Source organism: Homo sapiens, chromosome X (assembly GCF_000001405.40).
Source record: "Homo sapiens chromosome X, GRCh38.p14 Primary Assembly".
NCBI classification, from domain to species: Eukaryota; Metazoa; Chordata; class Mammalia; order Primates; family Hominidae; genus Homo; species Homo sapiens.
In genome coordinates this window covers 142,543,510-142,564,380 of record NC_000023.11, presented here as the reverse complement: position 1 = coordinate 142,564,380, position 20,871 = coordinate 142,543,510, and the positions used below count along the sequence as shown (strand labels likewise).

At 36.0% G+C, this 20,871-nt stretch overlaps 1 long non-coding RNA gene across 1 annotated transcript in view; it reads right to left on the bottom strand.

The window, feature by feature from the left end:
* LOC105373345 (uncharacterized) overlaps positions 1–18,000 on the bottom strand; it is a 78,282-nt gene extending 60,282 nt beyond the window's left edge. The window contains exon 1 of the long non-coding RNA XR_938605.2: positions 17,911–18,000. This is a non-coding gene — a long non-coding RNA (uncharacterized LOC105373345). The remainder of the gene's footprint in view (positions 1–17,910) is intronic.
* Positions 18,001–20,871: the final 2,871 nt, after the last annotated feature.

Sequence of the window (20,871 nt, the reverse complement as noted above, 5' to 3'; positions counted from 1 at the left end):
GTTTATGCTACCCAAAGAAATCTACAGATTTAATACAATTTTTATCTAAATTCCAATGACATTCTTCACAGAAATTTCTTAAAAATCCTTAAATTTATGTGGATCACAAATGACTCAGAATACCCAAAGCTGTCCTCAGCATAAAGAACAAAACTGGAGGGATCACATAACCTGACTTAAAATTACACTACAGCGCTATAGTAACCAAAACAGCATGGTGCTGGCATAAAAACAGATATGGTACTTTTCATGGGTGTCTGTGTGAAGAGACTACTAAACAGGCTTTGTGTGAGCAACATGGCTGTTTATTTCACCTGGGTGCAGGCGGGCTGAGTCTGAAAAGAGAAGTCAGCGAAGGGAGATGGGGTGGGGCCGTTTTATAGGATTTGGGCAGGTAAAGGAAAATTACAGTCAAAGGGGGTTTGTTCTCTGGCGGGCAGGAGTGGGGGTCACGAGATGCTCAGTGGGGGAGCTTTTTGAGCCAGGATGAGCCAGGAAAAGGACTTCACAAGGTAATGTCATCACTTAAGGCAAGGACCAGCCAGTTACACTTCTTTTGTGGTGGAATGTCATCAGTTAAGGCGGGGCAGAGCATTTTCACTTCCTTTGTGATTCTTCAGTTACTTCAGGCCATCTGGGCATATACGTGCAAGTCACAGGGGATGCGATGGCTTGGCTTGGGCTCAGAGGCCTGACAGTACTGGCATTAAAAACATAGACCAATGTAACAGAATAGAGAGCTCAGAAACAAATCCACACACCTACAGTGAACTCATTTTTGATAAAGGTGACAATAACATACACTGAGAAAAAGAGCCTCTTCAATAAATGGTGCTGGGTAAACTAGATTTCCATATGCAGAAGAATAAAACTAGACCCCCATCTCTTACCACATATGAAAATGAAATAAAATGGGTTAAAGACTTAAATCTAAGACCTCAAATTATGAAACTACTACAAGAAAACACCAGCAAAACTCTCCAGGACATTGGCCTGTGCAAAAACTTCTTGAGTGATACCACACAAACATAGGCAACCAAAGTAAAATGGATAAATGAGTTCACATCAAGTTAAAAAACTTCTGCACAGCAAAGAAAACAATCAGCAAAATAAAGAGACAACCCACAGAATGGGAGAAAATATTTGCAGACTACCTATCTGACAAGGTATTAGTAACCAGAATATACAAGGAGCTCAAGCAACTCTATAAAAAATGTAATAATCCTATCAAAAGATGGACAAAAGATTGGAGTAGATGTCTCTCCAAAAAAGAGATACAAATGGCAAACAGGTATATAAAAAGACGCTTAACATCACTGATCATCAGAGAAATGCAAATCAAAACTACAAAGAGGTATCATCTCACCCCAGTTAAAATGGCTTCTATTTAAAAGACTGGCAGTAATAAATGCTGGAATAAAATAAATGTGGAAAAAAGGGAACACTCATGCACTGTTTGTGAGGATGTAAATTAGTACAACTACTATGGAGAACAGTTTAAAGGTTCCTCAGAAAAATAAAAATAGTGCTACCATATGATCCAGCAATCCTGCTTCTGGTTATATACCCAAAAGAAAGGAAATCAGTATATCAAAAAGATATCTGCCCTCCTGTGTTTGTCACAGCACTGTTCACAATAACTAAGATTTGGAAACAACCTAATTGTCCATCAAAAGATGAATTGATAAAGAAAATGTGGTATATATACAAAATAGAGTAGTATTCAGTCATAAAAAAGAATGAGATCTTGTAATTTGCAACAACATGGATGAAACTGGAGATCATTATGTTAAGTGAAATAAACCAGTCACAGAAAGACAAACATTGCATGTTCTCATTTGTTCATGGAATCTAAAAATCAAGACAACTGAAGTCATGGACATAGAGAGTAGCAGGATGGTTCCCAGAAGCCAAGAAAATCAGCTGGGGGATGAGGGAGGTGGGGATGGTTAATGGATACAAAAGAAATACAAAGAATAAATGAAACCTACTATTTGATAGCACTACAGGATGATTATAGTCAATAATAATTTAATTGTACATTTTACAATAGATTAAAGTATATAACTGGATTGCTTGTAAGACAAAGAACAGTTACCTGAGAAGACAGATACCCCATCCTCCATGGTGTGATTATAACACATTGCATGCCTGTATCTACACTTTTCATATACCCCATATATACACACCTACTATGTACCCACAAAAGTTAACAATTAAAAATTTAAAAAGGAAATGATTGTAGCGAAGCATCTCCTTTTTGGCAAGTCTTGTCTGCACAAATCCTTGTGTCCCTTGCACTAGTCCCTAAGGCAATCAATCATTTTGATATTTCCTGAGAAGGAGATACAGTGATTATCTAAATAACATAGCCCCTAAAATTTCATAAGCATTGTACCCTTGCATGTCTCTGGACCTTGGAAGTCTTCTGTGCTCCCAGCATTCATAGCTCTGGGATTAAAGGGTCAAAATGATGCTCATCTCTGTATAAAATGTCAGGGTCAACAAGAAATCCTACATCAATTTTGTTACTTAATTAGTCAGTTTATCTAGTGCAACCCTTCAGTTAGAGAGAGGTTTATATTTTTTATAATTTTTTTAAAAAGAAATATTAAAGGCTTCAAGTTTAACATTGTGACTGTTCAATAGCCCACAATGCAGTTTTTCTAACAGCTGTTGGAAAGACAGAAAAATGATGAAAACTCACGTCACTAAATATCGGGGGAAACCAGCCCCTGATATTTCAACACAGCTTCTTTTCTATTTTCCCTAAGTGTCGGCTGGTCTGAGAAATAAAGGGAAAGAGTACAAAAGAAAGAAATTTTAAAGCTGGGTGTCCGAGGGAGACATCACATGTTGGCAGGTTCCATGCATGATGCACCCTGAGTCGTAAAACCAGCAAGTTTTTCTTAGCAATTTTCAAAGGGGAGGAAGTGTACAAATAGGGTGTGGGTCACAGAGATCACATGCTTCAAGGGCAACAAAAGATCACAAGGCAGAAGGTCAGGGCGAGATCACAAGGTCAGGGTGAGATCACAAGGTCAGGGAGAAACTAGAATTACTAATTAAGTTTCATGTCCCGCTGTGCATGCATTGTCATTGAGAAACATTTTAACAGAGTTCAAGAGCAGAGAACCGGCCTGACTAGAATTCACCAGGCTGGAATGTCCTAATCCTAGCAAGCCTGGGGGCGCTGCAGGAGGCCAGGGTGTGTTTCATCCCTTATCTGCAACTGCATAAGGCAGACACCCCCCCAGAGTGGCCATTTTAGAGGCCCCCCTGGGAAATGCATTCTTTTCCCAGGGCTGTTAATTATTAATATTCCTTACTGGGGAAAGAATTCAGCAATATTTCTCTTATCCATTTTCGGTAATAAGAGAAATATGGCTCTGTCCTGCCTGTCTCCCAGGCAGTCAGACCTAATGGTTATCTCCCTTGTTCCCTGAACATCACTGTTATCCTGTTCTTTTTTTCAAGGTGCCCAGATTTCATATTGTTCAAACACCCATGCTTTACGAACAATTTGCACAGTTAATGCAATCATCACCTCCTGAAGCGACATACATCCTCAGCTTACGAAGATGACGGGATTAAGAGATTGAAGTAAAGACAGGTATAGGAAATTATAAGAGTATTGATTGGGGAAGTGATAAATGTCCATGAAATCTTCACAATTTATGTTGTTCTGTCATGGCTTCAGCAGGTCCCTCCGTTCAGGGTCCCTGACTTCCTGCAACAACTAAATACTAGGTATTGCACTTAAACTATTGAGGAAATCCAGAAAATGTTTCCAGTAACTCCTAAACTAAATTGAAGAAAGTAATATGAAGCCCAACAGATACACCTACAATCTCCCCATAAACTCTCATTACTTCCATTTTACCAATGAAGAAAAAGAAACTCAGGTGAAATAACTTGCCCAAAATCACACAGCCAGTAGGTGGCAGAACCAATGATTTTCAGCCCTGAGACATTTATTGAGTTCCAAACTATTTTATTGAGCTCTTTACTTGGATTTCTAAAGGTATCTTAAACTTAATATGAACAAATTAGAAATTCTGATCCTGCCACTCCCTGCTCATTCCTGAAACCTACTTCATACCTAGTGCTTAGTATCTCTGAAAATGATACTACCATCCAACAAGTGGATCAAGCCAAAAAAACAAAAAAGGCAAAAAAATGCTAAGACTCATTCTTGACTCATTTCTCTCTCCCAAACTGCACATCCAATTTGTTGGTAAGTATGTCATTTCTTCCTCCAAAATATTTTCTAAGTCCAACCATTTTTCTCCATCTCTGCTGCTACAACACTGGTCTGGGCCACCAGTCATCTCTCTTCTGTATTATTTCTAAGCTTCTCAAGCAGTCTCCCTGATTCCACTGTTGTCTTCACACACACCTTGAAAGATGTTTAAAAATTAAAATTAAATCGTTTTCTTCTCATACATAAAATCCTTGAGTGGCTTTCTGAATTTCTTACAATAAAATCAAAATTCATGAAGAGGCCAACAAGGCCCTCTTTGAACTGGTTCCTATGTACTTCTCTGTCCTTATCTCCAACTGCTCTCCTCATTCACCATGTTATGGAACATTGACCCACTTTTTGGTTCCTTAAACATGCCAACTTGTTCCTGTTTCGTGGCCTTTCAACTGGCTGGTACCTCTGCCAGGAAGTCTCTGAGACAGACTTTTAGAAAGCTCCTTCACTGCTGTTATGCAGATCAGCTTAAACCCCACCACAAGGAATCACTCCCTGACCACCTACTTTAAGTTATCCCCTATCCCCGCTCTATCACCTTCTGTGACATCATTTACATGCGTTTTCTTCAGTGCAGTTGTCATTATTGGAAATTATCTTGCTCATTTATTTGTTTTTTGGAAACAAAGACCAACTAAATGATAAAAGTAAAGGCTATTTATTCAAATCTTGCTGCAGCAATGATGTTAGCCACCATCACTTGTGTTTTGGCAGAGACTCAAAGGCAGGCAGAAGAGTGGGGAAGCTTCATAGCGGAAGAAGGGGGGATACTACAGGTATGCCTGATTGGAGGTTGTTGGCATGAGAAAGCTGGAGGCAGGTTAATTAGAATAGAAGAAGGAGGCCCTACGTGATTGTTTATGAGTGCCTATTTGGCTTTCTCTGATTGGTCCTAAGTTGGTGGCAAGAACAAAATAGGGAAACTGTCAGTTATTAGTCAAGTCCTGGCCTTTTGGGGCCAATTGTTCCAAAAGTTGTAGTTTTGCTTTCTGGATTATTACTAAAGACAGAAGTCTGACTTCCTACAAGTCTGACTTAGAACTAGCTGGCTTCCTGGGCTGCTTATTGGAGTTAAGGGGTTGGTTTTCTAAGCAAGATGCCTCAGGTTGTGAGTCACAGTTGTGTTTTCACATATGGTCTTGCCATTATTTGCTCGCATATTCAGTCCCTCAGTTTGCTGGTCATAGATGTCACCCAACTGGAATTTAAACTCCAGTTGAACACGTTCCTTGTTCATCTTGTTCAGTATGGGCTCCCTAGTGACTGAAACACTATCTGGTACATAATAGGTGCTCAATACATATTTTAAAAATTAATGATTAAAAGGTCAACTGAGTTACTAAGTTATTTAGATATATATATATATCTTTAAGAGACTATATATATAGTTCAAAGCTTTAAGAGACTATATATATATATATATATATATATATATATATATATATATATATAGTCTCTTAAAGCTTTGAAAATATTTGTTTTCATAAATATTTCCAGACATAAGTACAAAGATTTCTCGTTGGCCCGCATGATTGACTGATTTTGTTGATGCATTCATCTGATGTAGTTCAACCTCACTAATTCAATGCCAGTGAAAAGAATTTACTTACTTTTAAAGTGAACATTACATTCTATCATAAATTATTTATCAAGGTAGAATATGCATAGTATTAATGCAACTCTTAACAATAAATGGGTACTTTGACACTGGCTAGGGTGGGGCTCTTTTGCCTGTGTTGTCAGTGGTTTTAGGAAAGTACAAATTAGTCATGATTGCCTCCCTCACAATTTAATAGGCTTGAAAGAGAAAGACAACAAACCGGATTTTTAAAATACAGATAAGGAGCTGGTTATAGTAACATGTATGTTTTTTAAATTTTCCATGTAAAGGGAGTTTAGGCACAAAGGAAAAATGGGTATTAAATGCCAGTAATGAATCTCTCCAACTTTGTTTCTAGAACTCCCAGAGCATTTAGGTACAGGTTCATTTACTTACCTTGTATTATCTAAATCGGTTTCCATAACTACACTCTCCACTGGACAGTGAGTTATTTAAGGGGGACTATATGTAAGAACTGTGATCCATTCTTATGTCCCGTAACCTATCATGGAGTAGGTATTTAGTCAATATTTCTAAGATCAAAGAATGAATATTGCTCAAACTTTGTGTAATATAGCAATTTCTAGGATAGCTCTATGAGGCTCCCCATGGTAGCTGTCAGGCTAACCTGATAAAACAAGGAAAAGACTCCAGAGAACGTCTTTCCAACCTATACCTAACGTCCTACAGGACACAAAATACTTGCTGTACTTTTTTTTCAAATATACTAAACATAGTTTTGCAGGTTCAGTAACAGGACTGTACTTAGAAACCAGGGCTAAGATGATTACAACGATGATGTTCTTTGGGAATGTTTTCTGGATTAAACCAAATTGTGCACTACCTTAACCTTGTGTAGAAAGCTGTTTTTATTCTGAAACTTCTGGCTTTTTAAGACATTGTCTTGCTGGGTGGAACTAAAGAAGAGTACACACCTCCGAGACCTTGGTTTAGATGTAAACTGGTGAAATATTTATGAGAGGCAATTTGTCAAAGTATATTTAGAGCTCTAAATGCATGCATATATACACTTGGACATACTGCTTTTAGGACTGTGTCTTAAGAAAGTGGAAAAACAACAAATGGAATAGATATATGATGGAGTACTAGACAAGAGTTCAGATTCTTACTTTGGGTGAATATTTAAGAATATCTTCATGCGGTGATGCCAAATTTTAAAAAGCTAAAGGATGGCATGTATACTATAATTCCAACTTCCAAACGTACTAAGAATATTGATAGTTGAGACTTTAGAATGGAGTCAAGGAGAGAGGAAAGTAAAAAATATATATATATGAAATGGGTGAGAGGTAAAAGATAAAACATCGCCATGTCAGGAAATAGACAACTAAGGGTCAGCTGCAGATTATGTCATTTTTCCCCACTTTTCAATGAACAATTCCAATCAGCAGCCAAGTAGGGGACAAAGGTAAGGGATTCAGCCAAGGCATGCCCCTGAAAGCCTGTTACTAATATTGTGCTGTACCAGGAGAACAGCCATATATCAACCTGCTGTGTTCCATGGACACAAAGCCATGCTGGCATTACAGATTTGGACTTCAAATATCTATTGAGCTATTTTAAAGTGCTCATCTAGTTTATACTGCAGTGATTTATAAAATGTGTCATTTTACAATAGCTGTCTATTTATTTCCAGGATACCCATGCATTCATGGGCACTAATGAATTGCAGGATGCTAGGCAGTGTAGAATATGGTTACACATGGGCCTTCTCTTACAATCTTACATCCATCTAGTTATGAAATATACCCTAATTTCACCACTGAAACCAAGCTGATAAGATATGGTAATAAGCTGACATAAATAATGGACTTCCTAGTTTAAAAATTGTATCAAATAGATTCCTTATGATAAAATGGCATAATTATTGCACTGGAGGCCAATGCTCTCTCACTAAAACAAATTACTTTGGGGGGCATAATTCATTGACAATTAAATAACAATAAATGCAGAAATATGTAACTGTCTATAAAAGACATTTTATTGGCAATATATATGTTGCAAAGTCTATTGGCTTAGGACAGACGCTCTGTAATAATTGGACATTTTTAGCTTCTACAGTGAATATTTTCTAAGTTATCTATGAAATTAGATTTGAATTTTAAATACACATCATTTATAGTTGATTCAGCTCGACTTACTGAGGCTACTTTTCTGATTATAAAACAAACAAACAAACAAAAAATGTTCTTACATCTTAATGCCTCTTATACTCCAAAATTTAGCTTAATGACTTGCCTAATGGCTTAGCCTAATAGCTTGCAAAATCTACCACTTGCAAGCCATTGCTACAAGAGAGGGTTTTCAGATCCTAAGGATAGAAAACCATACTTCTGTAGAAGAGACAAAGCACTCAAGGGTTGGCAGAGTGGAGAGTCCATAAAGAAACTATGCACAAACCTTGCTAAGGAAAAATAAACTTGAGAGAAAGACAGCTTTCCTGGCAGAATGACCTCCTAGGCCAGGCAGTAAAGGCATTTTTCTACAGAAATTTGTAAGCCATATACTTTGAGAAAATAATGGATGCAGCGGCAGAATGCAGTGAGTTCAGAGGTAATTTAGGATTCATCCTGAAAATTGACTGCACAGCAATGGCTGTGTATTCATAAGGAAAGGACAATAATTTATTCTCTCCAAGACTGAATAAAGTGATATTAAGTAAGCACAATTAAAAAAACAGCATGCTAATTGGAAGGTGGACAGCCAAAAGGAAAAACAAAAACAATTATAGGGAAGAGACTTTACCATTTACTGAGAGACTACTGAATCCTAGGGACACTGCAAAGTCTCTTCACAGCCATATCAATCCAATTAAAAAGTATGATGCCCAGACTGGGAACACAGGGAAACCCCGTCTCTGCTAAAAATATGAAGAATTAGCCGGGCGTGGAGGTGTGCGTCTGTGGTCCCAGCTACTTGGGAGGCTAAGATGGAAAGATAGTTTAAGCCTGGGAAGTTGGGGATGTAGTGAGCTGAGATCATGCTACTGCACTCCAGCCTGGACGACAGCAGTGAGATTCTACCTTAAAATAATAATAATAGTAAATAAATAAAATATGATTCTAGAGTAACTTCCTGGTAAGCACAAAAATATTATGCTTTATCAAGAGCAAATCAATTTGGACCAAATAGTCCAACCAACTATGCATGAAAAAAGACATTGAGTAAGCAAGTATGCTAGAAGTTCCTATCTAAAAGCCAAAAGCAAAATTGTTTTTATTCTGTCTTAATATAAATAGCTTATACTTATTTATACACCCCCCCTACAACTTGAATAATCTGATCCCTACCAAAATAATCACATTTTAAAGCAAGCCAATGATAATAATAATAATAATATCACCTCATATTTTATTTTATTATATTCAGATTATAAAAGACATCCACATTGATTAATTTGCCCAGTCTCCACATATATACCCTTGTGCCCTGTGTAATTTCTTCCTGACCCAACCTTTCATTGCTAATGAGGCAGTTTGTACCCATACATACAGAATGCATTTCATCTTAGCTGTACCTGAAACTGAACTGTGTTCCTCTTGCTTTCTGCAGTGGTGTTTTTCTGATGCTATGGGACAAGATACGTGCACTCATGCATGCACAACCAAAAGTATGAGCATGTTAATATCTCATGTATAGACTTGCTAGAATTTACAAATAAAAATACACGATGCCCATTTAATTTAAATTTTATACATTTAGTATATGTATGTCCCATACAATATTTGTTGTTAAATTGTAAAAAATAGTTTTTCATCTGAAATTCAAATTCAACTGTGTATCCTATATTTTAAATGTCAATCTTACCAGCAGGGTAACACTTGTCCAATGTAGGGTTGAAACTGGTGGATAAATGTTTTCTTTTCTGCTTTTGGGTGAAAAATTCTGAATTGTATTCTATACAGCCATTCAGAGGTTCCTGGTGGGATGAAACCCCAGTTGCCCACAGCCGTAACCAACTTAATATCATATGCCTCTATTAGTTTCCCCTCCCTTCCATTGCACTGTCCTTGGACTCTCTTCCCATACACTAGGATCATCACATCCTAAAATAACCTACCTACACAAAAACCCTTCTCTCATGATCTTTTTTGGGGATCAATTTAGGCTAAATGAGCTACTGGCAAATTCTTTGAAGTTACAGTAATGTTAGAGCTAGAATAAACCACTTTATAAATGTGAAGACTAATTTCTATAGAGTTCAGATGTATTGCCTATGGTCACACAGCTCAGTAGAGGCAGATATCAAACTCATATTTGGACCTCCTGAGCTCAAGTTTGATATCTACACTTTTTTTATATCTAGACTACGAGAACACCATTCTCACATTTATTTCATGCTATATTTTTAAGAAAACAAATTCATTTAGTATTTCTGTGAAAATGATGTACTAACACCATTAGGATTAAAAAACACAAATTCTCACATTTCCTCACAAAAAAAAAGATCTCTCCAAATCCCACTACACAAATAACTAGCATTAGCATTTGCAAACGTATTATTCCACACATATTTCTGTGCATTATATGCAGACAGAAACGTAAATACAGAAACACATAAAATTATATACTATGTATATGTGTGTATACACATAAAATAAAATGTGTACACACAATTTAATAGCATTTTATTTTATAAGTAAAATCATAAGTACAATTTTACTTGAATTTATGAAAAGGTAAAGAAACTTTTGGAAATGTTTCACTTCAGATACATGCTTCTTTACCACAAGAGATAGTATTTTTTAAAATATCCCTCGAAAAGTAATAAAACAGATTATAACAACATGAAGAAATAGGAGTCATTAGTTTTAATTAAATATTTAATTTTTGTACAGTACTAATTGCTCACTGTGAAAGATTAGAGCATTAGCTTTTTAACACTTTTTTTTTTTTTTGAGACTGAGTCTCACTCTGTCACCCAGGCTAGAGTGCAGTGGTGCGATCTCGGCTCACTGTAGCCTCCGCCTCCCAGGTTCAAGCGATTCTCCTGCCTCAGCCTCCAGAGTAGCTGGGATTACAGGCGCATGCCAACATACCAGGCTAATTTTTGTATTTTTAGTAGAGATGGAGTTTCACAGTGTTGGTCAGACTGCTCTCGAACTCCTGACCTCGTGATCCGCCCACCTCAGCCTCCCAAAGTGCTGGGATTACAGGCGTGAGCCCCCACACCTGGCTAGCTTTTTCAAATTTTATCCTATCTCCCTGGCGCCCCACTTTCCAAATTTTGTGAATGATGTCATTAATTTTACATAGTGTCAAAACTTCTAATATGCACATCTTATTTCCTGATTATAACTTCCACATTTTTCTTTACTATTAGTTCTGTTTCAGTGGATCCAAATCTAACTGAACCCATACTCCAGCTTCTTCATTCCTAAGGTCTTTATTTTCATTAATCTCTTAATTAGCTATGGATTTCTTCATCAAACAGAGTTTGCTTGATTATTTTAAAGAAGGGCTTCTGAAGATGCTGTATTATCTTAGCTTTTTTCATTTTTGAGAATGTCTACCTGTTTGCCTGATATGTGAATGATACGTTTTCTGGTATAATATTCTTGATTCTCACATTCTCTCCCTCAAAAATTTAGGAATACACTTTCATGATCTTCTGGACTCGAGATTTGTGTTGAAAAACATAGGAAACAACCAGATGTTTTCTTCTTACACATGATTTGCTTTTCTAGCCTGGATGCCTAAAAAATTATATTTTTATCTTATAAATTAAATAACTGAACTAGATTAAATATTCAAACATCTTGTTTGAAAAGTTTCTGCAACACACTGTGTGTTTTAGTTTATATATGTAAAATTTTATTTTTTTTTTGTTTACTCGTTTACTGTACTTTTTCTTAGGAGAAGTTTAGCTTCATGAGCGCAGGGACTTCTAACCTCCTTGTCACTATTACAATTCCTCAGCCTCTACAACAGAGCCAGACCTACTGTAGATAAGTAATACGTATTTGATAAATGAATGTTGTTGAATACATGATTTTCTTCTTTCAGAAAAATTTGCCTTAAATATATTTCTGTGTAATTCCCGTATATTGTCTCTCCCTTTCATATCTTCTGGCTCCTTTCTTAGCACTCTAATCATTTTTCCTTTTTATCTGCATTCGCTGAGATTACCTCAAGGCTTTTCTATATAAAAGTTATGTTATTCTTCTTTTTTTTTTTTTGGTCAATGTTGAACAGGTTGGCCTCAAACACGTGGCCTCACCTCCCTGTGTGCCAGGACAACCAGCCTGAGCCACTGCGACTCCCAAAGTTATGTTATTCTTAACTATGTCTTTTCTGGTCTTCTAATATTTGAGCTTTCTTTTACTAGATACAGGTTCTTATTTTTTTTCTAAACTGTGAAGTGCTTATGAAAATTTTCCTTGTATTTCTTACTTTGTTTCATTTAAATTGAGATCTTTGTTTTTCACATTCTAGCTCCACTCTGTTTTGTAAATGTATAATTGGAAATTGTACATATTTATGGATTAAAACATAATATTTTGATACATGTATGTATTTTGTAATGATCAAAGCAGGGTAATTATTATATCCATCACCTTAAAAATTTATCATTTATTTGTGATGCAAGCATACAAGAATCTCTATTCTAGCTATTTTGAAATATAAAATACATTATTATTAACTTTAGTCATACTGCTATGCAATAGAACAAAGTAATGCATTCCTCCTATGTAACTGTAGCCTTGTACTCATTGATCAACCTTACCTCATCCACTCTCCTCCTTCTCTTCCTTATCCTCTGGTAACAACCATTCTACTCGCTACTCTTTTGAAAACAATGTTTAAAACTTACATATGAATGAGATAATGGAATAGTTCTCTTTCTGTGCTTGGCCTAATTCACTTAATGTAACATCCCCCATGTTCATTAATGTTGCTTCAAATAACATGATTTCATTTCTTTTTATGATTGAATAGAATACAACCCAACTTCAAAACATACTGCAGAACTATAATAACCAAAACAGAATGGTACTAGCATAAAAACAGACACATAGGCCAATGGAACATAATAGAAAGCCCCAAAATAAACCTATGCATCTATGGTCAACTGATTTTTGACAAAGGTGCAAAGTAGACACAACAGTGAATGTACAGCCTCTTCAATAAATTGTGTTAGAACAACTAGATATCCACATGCAGAGGAATGAAACTAGACCCTTATATCAACTGGACCCTTAACTCAAACTGGATTAAGGACCTAAATGTAAGACCTGAAACTACAAAACTATTAGAAAAAAATCGTAAGGAAAAAGTTCCATGACATCGGTCTAGGCAAAGAATTTTTGGATTAAACTACAAAAGTACAGAAAAGAAAACAAGAGCAGAAATAGACAAATGGGATTACATCAAATGAAAAACTTCTGCACAGCAGATATATACATATATATATATATATATATACATATATATATATATATACAGTTATACAGTACATATATATATATGTCTGCTGTGCAGAAGTTTTATATATATATATACATATATATATATATAGAGAGAGAGAGAGAGAGAGAGAGAGAGAGAGCAAACAACCTACGGAATGGGAGAATATATTTGCAAATGACACATCTGATAAGAAACTAATACCTGAAATATATAAGAACATTCAAATGATTCAATAACAAACAAACAAGAGCAAATATCCCAATTAGCTCAATTCTTTTTATTTATTTGTTTCTATTTTTGCAGTGGGAGTGGGGGTATTGTATCACCTAGTCTGTTGATATAGTTGTCCTGTGATTTCTTTTCACTTTTTTCATTCATATTGCTTCTGTCTAGAATTGTAGTTTGATATAATATTAGGGTTGAATATTTATTTCTTCTCTTCAGGTACTCCTTTCCTGGACTTTTGTTCCTTTCCTGGGCCTACATTGCTGTTCTTTTCAATCCCCAACTTGAGGGCTGAGTTTCTGTTTTTTTATTCATTTTTCTGTACCATGAGGACATGGAGAGAGTGAAGAACACAACTGAGAACAAATCGGTATGCTCCTGGATAGAATCTCAGGGCTTGTCATAACTTTTGAATTTTTTTAAATTTAATATGAAGTACAAGATTCACTCTAAATAGTTGTGAAGTATACTCTAGTCTCATACTGAGTATTTTTGATCTTCCAGTCATACCTCCAATTAAGTCAGTGCACAGTCTCAGAATCTTTGTTTCTACCACTCAACTCTGTTTTTCATTTTCCCTATTTTGTGTCTTCTTCCCCGGCAGCTGTTTCTACTATATCATAGTCAAAAAAAAAAAAAAAAAGAAAAAAGAAAGAAAGAAAAGAAAAAATAAGGACACCTTCCCACTATTTTTCTCTGAGAATTTTGGAATATTCAGGAGAAGTTTTAGAATTTTGCTGACTCAGCAAAGCTGGGGTGCAGAATGAGGGCTGAATTACAAGGCATGCCCTTGACACTGAATGTTGAATATTCGTTTCCTTATTTGGCAAGCAGTTTTATAAACATACGGATTAAAGTTGTAGCTACTGTTTGTTTAGTTGATACTGTTCTTCCTCTAGTATTTCCAATGGCTACTTTTATTAGTTATGTTTCTTGATTGGGGGGTAAGCTTCTATGATGCAGTATCATTTTGCCATTTTTACCTGGAAGTTCCTTACACTACATTTTCCAGAATAATTATAAAATTCCCTTAATAAGTGTATCTTCTGAAAGCAGAAGACAATGTCTGTTTATTTTCTAATTGAACTATTCAATTAAAAAGCTTTGGTAGACCTCACTGGACACTGTGCTACTTAAGCAGAAAAGTCTCTTTAAATCTTAGAAACTATATTAAACAAAATTTATTCCAGGAAATCTTTTCCTTGAATAGAAATCCACTGGCAGCATTATCAACAATCATAGACTTAAATCAACTCAGTCAGTAGGGAAAAAACAATTAATTGCTACTAACCAGGCATGAGTAGTTAAAATACTTTTCTCTCCCTACAGGAAGTGAGGGTGGAGATGTTAATTTTTCATTCTAAACTGCGCCTTTCTTACAGACCATATTTATCATACTGGAAATCAAATTAATAGAAAATGAAAAGGAATACTTAAGTTAGAATACTAAAAACAATCTAAATTTATTTAGAATAGTTTGATAAGCAAAAGTGGGTTTTACTGTTTTCATGTTTATTTAAGTTTGAACCATTTATTATCTTGTGATATTAGATATCACAAGTCACTATTACACCTCTCAATTGTACAATATATCAAATAAAAATCCACACCCATGTCCACTTTTTACTGCTTTCTGGAAAATGATATTGAATTACTTATACACAAAGAAAGTGAGGAAGTGGGTGAACTCCATCTTAAATTTTGTCATAATAAGATACTTTAGCTTTCTCAGAAAGTGTTCTCATAATATGCAAAAGCACATATTCGTGTTTTGGGTATCACTGGATTCTGGACTGCCCTGTTCTCTGTCTTATATCTACATTCAGAAACAATTCAATGTATTAGTCAATCGTGTTTAGCAAATGAACAATATAGCATCTAGACATTTCAGAGATGGCAGGGTCTTTGGCAATCAACCAACCCCATTCACATGATTAAATATGAGAAAAAGGAGACTGAGAATGGGAAAACTAATTGTTCAACAGTTACACTGTATAAGAACTAGTATCAGAATTAGAGACTTTTCATGCCCAAACTTTGCACACTTTTCCCCATGCTTGACTTTCTTCTGGATTTGACTAGTTTTTTGATTGCTTTTTAGTTTGTTTAAACTAAATTATAGCATATTTGCCAGAACTTAATTAACGAAATAATGATTTGACTTTGTGTGGACTAAGTATCATTGTTTAACAAATATTTAAAGTCTACAAGCTATGTTTATAGCATCCCCTTCACCCCCATTGGTTTTTTTGTTTGTTCGTTTGTTTGTTTGTTTGTTTGTTTGTTTTTTGCGAGGGAGTCTCGCCCTGTCACCCAGGCTGGAGTGCAATGGCACGATCTCGGCTCACTGTGCCTCCTGGGTTCAAGTGATTCTCCTTCCTCAGCCTCTGGAGTAGCTGGGATTACAGGCACGCGCCACCAGGCCCGGCTAATTTTTTTTTTATCTTTAGTAGAGGCGGGGTTTCACCATGTTGACCAGGCTGGTCTCAAATTCCTGACCTGATGATCGACCCGCCTTGGACCCTCATTATTCTTTTACTCTGTACTGCTCCCTCCTTACTGATCCTTATTCTTTTAGGGATAACAAAGGCTTACTTTGAGCAGGCTTTCTAACAGACCCAATAATTTCTTACTGGTCACAGCTCCCAGGGTTTTTGCTTTATAATACATTCTAGGCATTAGATTTCCTGTCTTAGACACCAAGACTATTTTCACACCAACCCTTAAAATATGCTGGGTATTATCTTCTCTTTCATTCGAAGGCACTAACCCAGTACTTACTCATTTGTTCATCCACCTGCCAACAGACATCACTTATGTGGCTCCTCTGTACCATGCACAGCTCACAACAGGGATTGGGCCTACTCTGTCTTTCTCTCTTACTAAAGATTACAGGCCCAATCCCTGTTCTGAAAGCAATAACCGTCTAGGTCTCCAACAACAAAAGAAATAATTTGTTTTGTAACAATAACAACAACAACAACAACAAATAAATGGAATCTGTTTCATTTCTGAAAGCTTTTCATATCTTAGTTTAGAAACAAACTGAACAATGGACACTTTATTTAGTGTCACAAAATAAATAGAAAGTGTCACTTGAAAATATAATTTTTCTTTGACTGAAGAGCAATATTTTATACCATCGCCTTATTAAAACTGCTGTGGTTTCTATAAATAAAAGACCTTGGATGGATCAGTATGAGAACCAATACTGGCATCATTTGTTTTTTTAAAAAACCTAATTGTTTCCACAATTGTGTCTACTACATTGACATATTGATTTGTTCATTTCCCCTTGGGGGAGAAACAAGATACACCAATTACACCATCCCAGTCATTTTTCAGAATGAATACCTATAATTTGGCAAATAATTTAAGGGGAACTGAAATGTCATCTAGATATTATTTTCCTCTTACGAAGATATTATCCAGTATATTATTTCTCACTGCCAGGAGGGTAAACATAAAGGATTACATTTGCAAATAGCTTGGCTAATTTTAAGACATCAATTTTCATGTGTGAAATGAGTGCAGTAATTGTCTGAGTGTATGACAAAATATGCATGAAAATGTAGACACACATTTGTGGTGTGGATTTAAGGAGGATGTTAGAATAATGAGCAAAACCTTGTACATTCCCATTAACCATTTGAGATATGTATGAACTTGTCCCCAGCAAAGGAACATAAGCACTAAGACAGAGCTGTGATTTTATATATCAACTCATAAACAAGTATCAGACATTCACTTTATTTCAGATTTCATTCCTCAACTGATGAAGAATATTAAGGCATAGACCTTTATACGCATAAGCAGGTACAAGCAGATGGCTGTGTCTAGGAGAGTGAAACGTGTAGAAATGCTGAGCTATGAGCAGCAATAGTGGATATGCAAACCCGAGACTTGTGGGGTACAGACAGCTGGCTTCTAAAATCTGAATGGATCAAGTCAACAATATGGTATCCTTCTTCTGCATAGATCTAAAGGGCAGAACAGGTCAAAAAGATTTTGTTGTAGAGATCAGAGCATAGTTTAATAGAAAAAAGGGTCAAAGAACTTTCTATCAATTACAACTGTTTATAAATGAAATAGGCTTCCTTGCAAATCAATCTCTCCTGTAACAGATGTGTTTAAGCAAAAAGACTTAGGTTGGTTAATCAAAAGGTATGCTGTATGATGTGATGATATTGCTTAATGTTTTGTGCTTTTTAAAATTATTAATATATTTTATAATTGCCTTCTACTCTGTAATTTTCGTTGTTGTTGTCGACTTAACTTTATTTGTAAGAAGCGTCGCATGAATTTTAGGTTGCAAATCACAAATCACAAAGCAGTTAAGCAAAAAATAAATGTGGGGGAAACACTTTATATAAGTTTGACATTAGTCACTTCTCACCTTTTCAGATCAGGACCCTCTGGTAGGCACAGTTCAAATCTTTCATCCCCAACTACAAATGTAAATGTTTATAATCACCTTTCTTGTACCCTGAAAGAGAAACAGAAAAGAGGAACAACTATATTTTGCTGTATAAGGATTCACAGGAGTTTCATGGAAAGTAACATCAGAACACAATGAAGCCTCAAGAAGCACTGGGGCTTGCTCTGCATGATAGAGATGATCATTACATGAGTCAAATTGTTTACAATCCTTGCATTTAATAGTCCATAGCAAATTAGAATTTCTTTATCCAAATTGGAAAATCAGAGGATAATCCAATTAGTCCAGTTTGTGTTAGATGGCTCTTCCCCGTCTAATCAACAATGGCTGAAGGTTGGACCCCCATGATGCAAGCTTGGTGGCAGAAGGCCCATCACCCTAGACCAAGTGGCAACTCTAAGAGGTGATGATGGCTTGTTGGCTAGGAAGACACCTTGAAACTAGTCTACCACACGTGTACTCAAGTGAACTCCATGTATTAGCAACAATTAAAAGGATTACATAAATACAAGAAAAACATGCACATTTTTATTTTCAAATACCTTAAAATATGACAAACATGCCAAATAATATTTATTTTATATCTGTTGTCAAACATTCAAAGTTATTTGAAAACTGTCAACAATGCTTAAGGAGGGTAATTGCTTAGCTGGGAAATAATTGAAATTTAAAGGTTGGAAGAACTTTGAAAGTATGTGAAGCAAAGTGACAAGGTTGATTCCTATCAAAAAAGACAGAGATCTTCCAGGTATGTTGCTGAGCTGTCGCTCATCTTACTACTACATATTGTATTTCTCCTGTAACATAAAAAGAAAGAAGACTGTAATATGCTAATATCATTTTATAAGCATTTAAAAATGCTTTTAGAAATGGCAAGTTAATAGTGATGAACTAATGGAGACAGAAGGTAGAGCAGAGCAAGTAACAAGACTTTGTTTTCAACATATATCAGGAGTTTGGCATTTAAGTAGAAAGCTACACTTCCCAGTTTAATATTTTTTCAATAATCAAACATTGCTTTATTGCCATTTTTTTGCTGTTGGCACTGGAGCAACAGTGCCATTTAAGTTTCTTACACATTTTATCCCCCACAGTGACTCTAAATAATCTTGTATTTCCTAAAGTAATACTAGCCCTCAAAACCTAACAATCTAGAAACTTGGAGGAGATTGCAAAGACCACTTGCAGAATGTCAGAAACGTTTGGGTAGATGCTATGCCTGAGCTCTAGTTTCCAGGAAGCAAAGCCTGAGGTGGGTGTTCTTATGTGAGTGACTTATCTATTGAGGCGAAAGCTGCTCTCAGGAGAAGGGAAGAGAGGAAAACTGGATGAGAAAGGGTGAAGGAAACTCAGAAAAATGCCATTTCCATTAGAGACTGGCTCCACCTCTGGTACCATGGAGAAGCTCTGGAGCACCAGATTCAACCGGAGTTGGTCCCACCTTGAGGAAAGGGAGGCAGCCTTTTGTACCTTGTGTCAGTTAGTCCCTGCTGAAATCTGTCGTCAGTCCTAGGGACAGATGCTATCTAATCACTGGGGCATGAAGACTCCAAGTTAGATGTGAGCAATAGCCTGGAGAAGGGTGCACCTGTGAGTTGTCATCAGACAGTACCCAAAGCAGATAAAAAATGGGTTCGCTGGCCAGAAAACACGATCTGGGTAAGATTCCAACAGTATTCACTACAGACAGTATCACTGGGATAGGTGACAAAAGCCACTAAACGGTAGAGGATTTTCAACAAAATGAGTCACTTTGAATCAATCTAGAAGTCCTTGTACATTTGTGGAAAACACAAATCATTTCACAGGGAAAATAGAAGGTGAATATATTGTATTAGTTTTCTGGAGACACCATAACCAAGTGCCACAAAAAAATAGTTTATTATGTCACAGTTCTGAAAGCTAGAAGTCCAAAACCAAAATGTTGACAGAGTTAATTTGTTCTGAGGACTGTGAGAAAAGAATCTATCTAATCCCTGTCTCATTGGCATGTGGATAATCTCTTTATGCTTACATGGTATTCTCACGTGTACATGACTATCTGTTAACTTCCCACTTTTTAAAAGGATGACAGTCATATTGGATGAGGGTGCACCATCCTGACTGCACTTTAACATGATTACCTCTGTAAAGACCCTATCTCCAAAGAAGATCACATTCAGAGGCACTTGGGGGTAAGTATTCAACATATGAATTTTGGAGGGGCACAATTCAACCCATGACACCTTTGAAAATTATGACAGGGTATTCTCTAGGCAGAAAGTAGATATTTCTTAAATAGAAAGTCACCCAATTTCAATTTCTGGAAGTATTTTAAATGAATCTAAAAATCTTTAAGCAAAGTGACACTGACTCCATCCCATTCACTTGACCCATTCAACATACAGACAATTTGAGGATAATGTAGATGATGTAAACAAACTTTGTTATTACTTAGACAACATATTAATGAGCTCCAGAGATTTTTTAAGTTAATTTCTTACCTATCAAGAGATACTTACATGCATCTGCAATCTACTTTCAGACATTAAATGTAAACAAACACTGCTTAATGAACACTCCAATACAATTGCTTTCACTATACTCTCAAATAAATGAACCTGCCTATAGAGAAAAATCTACCTAGTATGTTGCTGATAGATAAAATAAGAGCATAAAATGAGACAGATTTATTATTTAAAAAAAGGAAAACAAACTAGTATCTACTGAGCAGCAACAACTCTGTACGTTCAAGGCACTGGGTTAGAGACTTTGCATATCTCATCTCATTGAAACCTCACAGGAATTCTTTGAGGTAGATATCACCCTCAGATTTACTTTGCAAATATGTAAACTGAATCTCAGAAAGGATAGATAACTTGTAAAGACTTACAAGTAGCACAGCCTAAATTTGAATTCAGGTATGTCTCATTCCAAAAC